This window comes from Homo sapiens, chromosome 6 (assembly GCF_000001405.40).
Source record: "Homo sapiens chromosome 6, GRCh38.p14 Primary Assembly".
Lineage (NCBI taxonomy): Eukaryota > Metazoa > Chordata > Mammalia > Primates > Hominidae > Homo > Homo sapiens.
The window spans coordinates 50,461,751-50,469,126 of NC_000006.12; the positions used below are offsets into that span (position 1 = coordinate 50,461,751).

Below are 7,376 nucleotides of genomic sequence, written 5' to 3' on the forward strand. Positions count from 1 at the left end.
AGATATTCAGAAAATGCTAGTAAAAAAATTCAGGTTAAGTTCCTTAATTCCCCCTGTTTACTTGCTAGGTGCAAATAGATGGCATGTATATACTAGGCCTTGCTTTTAGACCATCACAAGCCAGAAAGTTGCCATGGCAACTTCAGCCACTGATAACCTCCATGAGAAATGAATTCCCAATAGGTGTGGAGTTCTTGGCAGTCTACGCAGCACTTTCAAACCATAAATTCACTCATTATTATTATAATCATGTAATTAAGTAGGGCTGTTAATACTATTCTTATTTTCAGGTGACGAAACTTCAGCTTTAAGAGGTTAAAAGACTTGTCCAGAGTCATGTTAACAGGTAAGTGGCAGACTTAGAACTCAAAGGCACACTTTCTGATCCTGAGTCATACATTTTCCAGAGTCAGCCTAATTATTGAAAATAAGATCTATATTTGCACTAGACAATTTTAAAATGTAGAACTTTTGGAATAATCTGCCTAAGTAGTCTCTTATTGTTTTAAGGTAAACTTACAGTGTAGACCTTGTGGGTTTGGAGGTACAAGTCTTCCCTCAATAGCTTTGATTTTAGCAACTAGCCATGATGGCCACGTTAACAGGTAGCCCTTTAAGATCCAGTGTTCTAAACCATTCACGCTTTGTCAAATACTCTGACCCAATTTCCGAGCTGGGGCTTTGTCTGAAGGGAAGAAAATACAACTTATCCTTCAAGATAAGGGCATGAAAAAGTGAAATATTACAAGAAGCATAAACATGTAAGAGCAAATAAATGTTCCATGTATGAACTAAGAATCATGATACATGAAATCAAACAATGAAGCAATACCTATAAATCAGTTCTTAACTGGGGATCAATTTTGTCCACCAGGGATCACACGGCAATGTTTACAGACATTTTAGTTGTTACAGAGTAGGGATGTTACTAGCATCGGGTGGGTAGAGGCCAGGGATACTATAAAATATCCCACAATACACAGGATAGCTTCCACAAGGAAATATTTGAACCAAAATATCTATAGTTAACCTGTTGAGAAATCCTGCTATAAATAATGCAAATAATTTTATTTTTAAACATTTACTTACCTTACAAAAGTACTTTCTGCACTTGATTTGTCTAATGTTTTTGATTTATTTTTTTTTTCCTTTTTGAAGGAACTATTAAGTATTACCTGGCCCTCATAAAAAATTAGAAAATACAAATAAGCATACAGAAAAAAATACCAAGTCACTTTGTAACAAATTATATTAATATCTTCTTATTAGATATTTAGATTGAATTCATTTTTTCTAGCTATTATGAATAATATTGTCATGAATATCCTTGTGCATTAATTCTCGTACAAATATCTGATAATTTTGTAATATCCTATAAATAAAATGTTCAGGTCAAGAGAAATATACTATTGTACTTGATATACTTTGCTAAATTTCACAATGTAATTAACACTAATTAACTAACTCATAAGAAGTGTCCATTGTAAACATATTGAATGGCCTGTATGATATGTTGAAAATCATTCCTTTAACTTTCGTGAAAAATAAAAGATTTCATGATACTTAAGTGTATATTTAGATGAATGGTCTAAATCTGTGATCTCAGGGAAGATCATAGTCTTTCATTTGTGTAGGTAAATAAAGAGATTGCCAAATTACTGTAATCCCAAACCATAGTATATCAAGTCCATAAAGTAGGAGGGCTGACTTCCATATATAAGTCCATTTAGGTCATTTTATAAAAGGAGAAACACATGAGATCAGAAATTGAATAGAAACAGAAATTGAATAGATGAATGTAAGTCTCTAAAACCCCTCAAAAATATTGGAAACTGTGATGATTTTCTTATTGTTTGTAGGATGGGATTATGAGACATTTTTTCTAAATTTTAAAAGGCAATTGTTTTCTTATAATACTGGAAGATTTGAGAACACCCAGACCACTAACATCAGGGTTACATATTACAAAACATTCGAAGAGAAAAAAAAGAATCCAAGGAAAATGTCAAGGCATGTGTGTTACTTTTTGTTTTCCCAAGCCAGAGGGAAAATGCCACTGTGACAGCAAACAAAAATATATTTCAGTTGTTTTCCCATTTGATGCCTTTTTTTGTCGAATATTAGAAAGATATTTATAAAATGCAATTTAATGCATTTGCTAAAAAATTAACACAGAGATGGATTTTCGGCTAATTAACCTACTCTTCATAAAAAAGCAGTAGGGAAATGCTTGCTAATGTTTAAGCCATAAGATACACAAAAATGCAGGCAATATTTCATCGTGACACCCAGGAGACCCATGTGTGACACAATATAGAGTCTGTGTGTATCTCACTCTCCACAGGAACTAATTTTGAAGCACCAGAATGCTGTGAATTGGCTGTAAAACAATGTTGAAGAAACTCAACATAGAACAGAAGGCACACTTTCCTTAGGAAGAATGCTGATAAAATTTTAATGAACTAACATGTTGTCATGGGGATTTGTTGCTATTCATTAATTCATTGTGCTGTTCCTCTATAGTTTTGCTGAAGTTGACTGACAAATTGTCAAGTCGCGGTTCTGGTGGTTTACACTACCTCATTGATAGCCTAAATTTAGGGGGTAAATTCTTCTAGAGACTTACCCCATTGCATTTGGGGTAACACATTTTTCGCACTATGTGTGCTCAATTGTATTTCAAATGAAACTCCATCTCTAGAGTAGGCCTTTGACTCTGCAAAACAGTGGAAATAATCACAGAATGATTGACAGCTCTGGTCACAGATGGGGACTACCATAGAAGCCAGGGCTGGGGAAGGCTCTACCATAAATAGTCAACTGGCCTCCTATGAATTAGGATAAAATTCTCAGTGGAAAAGAGTAATTTAATCATAAAAATCATAGAATGCCAGAAGCTTGCAGGGACCTCAAAATCTGTCTAACTCTTTCGTTTTGCAAATAAGAAAATGGATGACACCCAGAGAGGTGAAGATTTATAAAGGATATGAGTGGCAAAACAAGGATCAGAAACTCAGTATATTGGCTTATTTTCTTGTCATTATGCCTCCCTGGATTTCTTCTCTTGTTCTTTTCACTTCTAACGGATTTCATACTTTCCCCCTGAAATTAGCCCTAATCACAGAATAACATGAAACAATATCCCTGGGGTTTAGGAACATAGCCATGGTTGGCCAATCATAAGCTCGCATGTTATCTTTTAAATGCACACGAATTTTATGCTATAAATGATCCATGTTTGTATTAATAGAATTTTTCCAAATCTTTGAGTAAAATGATGCTCTAGGAAAATTTAGCAAACTTGCCCAATACTTTATATACCTCCAGGCACTGCTGCATACCCAGATTGTGATAAGCAAATAAAGATCACTGGCAAAAAGCACAATCAGAGCAAGAAATATGAGGGATCCCCCTATCATAGTGATCATTAAACAATATTGATGGGGCTTGATACCTACTTCTGTGCCTTGATGGGGGCCAGCTGAAAGGAAAAGCATAGGTTGTTCTGCTCTGTGGTGGCTATGGCATTGAGAAGCAGCCAGAGGTGAAAAGTCCCACAACCTGGCACAAAATATTCATGTCGTATTTGCAGAGACAGCCAAAGATCAGTGGATAGAAGGTTTGATTGTTGTTGTTGTTTTCTTTTTTTCCTTTTTAAATCCTATTCTCCCTACTGCCAAACGTTTGAGGATATTAGTTTCAAATCAACTTATTGATTGCCCACTTTTGCAGAACACTGAGAGGATTCTAATTTATAATATGCAAATACTCTAAATGCCCAAAGCAAGGTGCTAAACAGTAAACCAACAAAAAATCCTTTCTCATTATTAAACTCCAACAGCTTCATTTTACATCCTAAATCATTGCTACTCAAAAGCATGGCCATTGCATCATAAGTATCACCTCGGATCTGCTAGAAACATGGAATTTCAAGTCCCACCTCAGACTTAGCAAATCAGAATCTGCCTTTTAATAAGATCCCCAGATGATACATATGCACATGAAAGTTTGAGAAGCTTTGGGCTACCTTACATAATACCAACATAGTATCCTAACATTTATGCTAATAACACACATAACACAACCCAAATAGAGATACTTACTGGTACTTTACCTTTATGTTGTTCCCAACAGGCAAGAATAATTACTGGTAAATTTAACTGTGCTTTTTTTAAAAAAAAAAAAAAGAACCTTTTTATTGATATATCTAAAAGCTTGTTTAACTATGTACATAATGAAAACAATTGCTATCCTTCCTCCCAAGAAATGCAAAGCTTGTAAAATCTCAATACATTTTTATTTACTAATGGCTATATCCAAATAATAGCAACAGCAAAATTCACTGGGGGTTCTGTAATGGGCCAGGCACTGTACTGTATAGATTGTGCACACTATTCAATTGAGCATTCTCCACAACCCAAACATGTGGACAATAATATCACCTTCGTTTTACAGAAAGATAAATTAAAGCATATAAGTAGTCTGTCTAGGAACTAACAGTTAGTATGAAGTAAAAGTGAGATCAGAACCCACAAAAATGGGACCTGTCACCCACCACACTAGTTTTGATTAGGCTATTAGCACTGCAAAAAAAAAATAGCGTAAACCCAACACAAATATATCTCACTCTAGGATTAGTCTTCAGATAGGACATGTTTTTATTTTGTGGAATACCTATTGACTACTAATTACATACCTGCCATACATGTAACAGCCTAAAAAAAAAGCAGTTAGAACTATATTTAGCAGCTAAGATAATTTCTTAAGCTAATAATTAACCTTAAAAAAAGATTTGAAGTCCTTTTAGATGAGCAAAATAATTGACACTTTGACTAATTTTACTTGAAAGAATCCATCTAAAATAAAAATTAGAAATAAATAATAAATAAATCAGAAACAGGAGCTATTTTTCACAGTAATCTTATGCCTTTTCAAAATTAACCTAATACAAAATCCAGCATTATAGTATTATGTAAGCAAATTATATATATCATACATTAAAATGTTACAATGTCATTAAAATTATAATTGCAAACAATTTTCTATAAGAATATATTCCTTAAATTTAAAAAGCTGGATACAAAATGATATCTCTTCTATATACAGAGAGAGAATGAGAGAGAAAATGTGAAAATACATCAGAATATGTAAATATATATTTTATATATATAATACATATCCAAAGAAAATATACCACATTCTAAATTTAATTATATATGATGATTTGTGTTATATTTAGATTTTCCTTTTTTTATATATTTTGGACTATTAACCAAAATAAATATGTATTACTTTACAAGTTACTTTATAATTTCTCAAACCAGGGAAACTATGTTCTTTATTCATTAAATTTCAAGACCCAGTGTATTTATTGGAATTTCATAAAATACATTTAAATTTCAAACTTTTTGGTCTTTACAGAGCAAGGATTTTGGTTTATTCAGCATTTTCCTGAGTAAACACATGCAAGTAAAAAGTCTCATTGGACTATAACCAACAAGTGCTTATTTGAAGATCCCAGGGTTGATTTGTTAATTATAGACTTCCATTTAGTTTATGTATATAGCAGATATTTGAATTGGTACACACTTGAAGCACAGAGAGATTATGAACTAAAGCAAAATACAGTCCTATATGGATTTTAGCTGATGTCGCTTGAGAGTTCCACTGAGCCACATTCAACAGTAGTTACAGATTTAAAGATTTATCATTTTCTCATTTTAAGATGAATACCATTATCACTTAAAAGTCCCTTTTATTTCATTCATTAAACTCTATTAAAATCATAGATTGTTCAGAAGCAATTTTTCTTTGAAATTCTTGATTTTGAAAGCATTTTTTATCATTGAGAAGACACAATTCCCTCCCCAGATTTGTGTCAGTTTCCCTCTAACTGGGACTCCTAGTAACTTTAAAAATTATTCCATGAGCAGCACACAAACAGTCCCCACCCAGGTGCATTATTTATTTTTTTCCTAAAGATCTACAGTAAACATAAGACAAATGAAAAAAAAATCACTATCAAATTAAGTTCAGGTGACCTAGCCATTTTTAGCATAGAGTTATATTCCAGAACCTCAGGTTAGCAAAACTCACATAGGCAGTCGAATCTTTGCTTTTCAAATTTAGACACAAAAGAATCTCCAAAGCAATGGATGACATTTTATCATGTGATTCCCAATAATTAATTTGTTATGGGCCCACATAAATAAAATAAATGCTGAGTGATACATTGACTTCTGTTATCGAAAGCATCTCCCTTCTCACTCCTGCCTCTCTGGCTCCTGACATTATTTCTTGGTTATTGGTTGACAGTTCAGTGCCTTGAGTGTTGCTCTCGCTGTAGGGTTAGCAGGATAATTGACAAACCACAGGGATTGAATCCCTGGATTAGGATGACCGGACTGTCAAAACAACCATGACAAACTCTCACATCAACTTCGACTGCAAGTCAAAGCTGTGAGGGAAAAATTCACCTTGGCAGGGCCAGATGGGAAGTCTTTAGTTTAAAATATTTCCCACTACAAAATGTATTTCAGCAAGAAAGAGGAACAATATAAGAGTTTTTAAAGTACAATTCATAGAGAAATACTTCAATACAGTCCCTATTAATTAGAGCATTTATTATAAATAAACATCCCGGAGTCTTATTTCATTTACCTAATATGTCTTTTGAATTTCATAAAACATATTTAACTTTTGTTAGAAAATTGACATATGTTTAGGAGAACTCTATCTGTATTGTTAGAATGTTTATGAAATATTATGTATGTATTGGTTATGTATGTACACAAAGGGAAGTGTGTTAAATATCCAGTTTTATGCTTTATGTATAATTTTGTTTAAAAATATATTGTAAATTTTAAGTCAAATTGATGCATAAATGTAATTCATATTAATAAGCAACATGCCACAAGTTGTGATTAGCAAATAGGGAGCTATATACATTGCCATCTCAAGCAACACAGTTAAAAAATATTTGAAAAACTCTAAGTAAATTTGCTACTTTCAACATTGTCTCTAGACTTTCAGATTCCTATCATAGATCTTTGAAATGACAGCTCAAGTGACATCTGTTTATAATGCAGGCGTATTCTCTGTATGAAAACATAGATTGCAAACCGTTAAAGGGAAATTAAAATGCAAATACAAAAAAGAGTTATTTACTTAGTTCTGTGCCAGCTAACACATGGGATATGGACACCTAGGATTAGAAAGATCCAATTATTTTTAAAATATAAAACTTAAAGAACTTATTCATGCACCACTTGGGTCTTGGAATATGATCAAAATAGTTTTGGAATAGTTAATCAGTATTTTTCCATCAGAGTCAAATTTTTCACAACATTGAAAAGAAAGAGCAAGAAGCAACAGTG

General features: G+C 32.9%; 1 long non-coding RNA gene across 1 annotated transcript; it reads left to right on the forward strand.

The window, feature by feature from the left end:
- Positions 1–290: 290 nt before the first annotated feature.
- LOC124901479 (uncharacterized) lies at positions 291–2,466 on the forward strand. The gene is made up of 2 exons (XR_007059903.1): positions 291–346; positions 2,345–2,466. It is a non-coding gene; the product is annotated as an uncharacterized LOC124901479 (long non-coding RNA).
- The last annotated feature ends 4,910 nt before the right edge of the window (positions 2,467–7,376 follow it).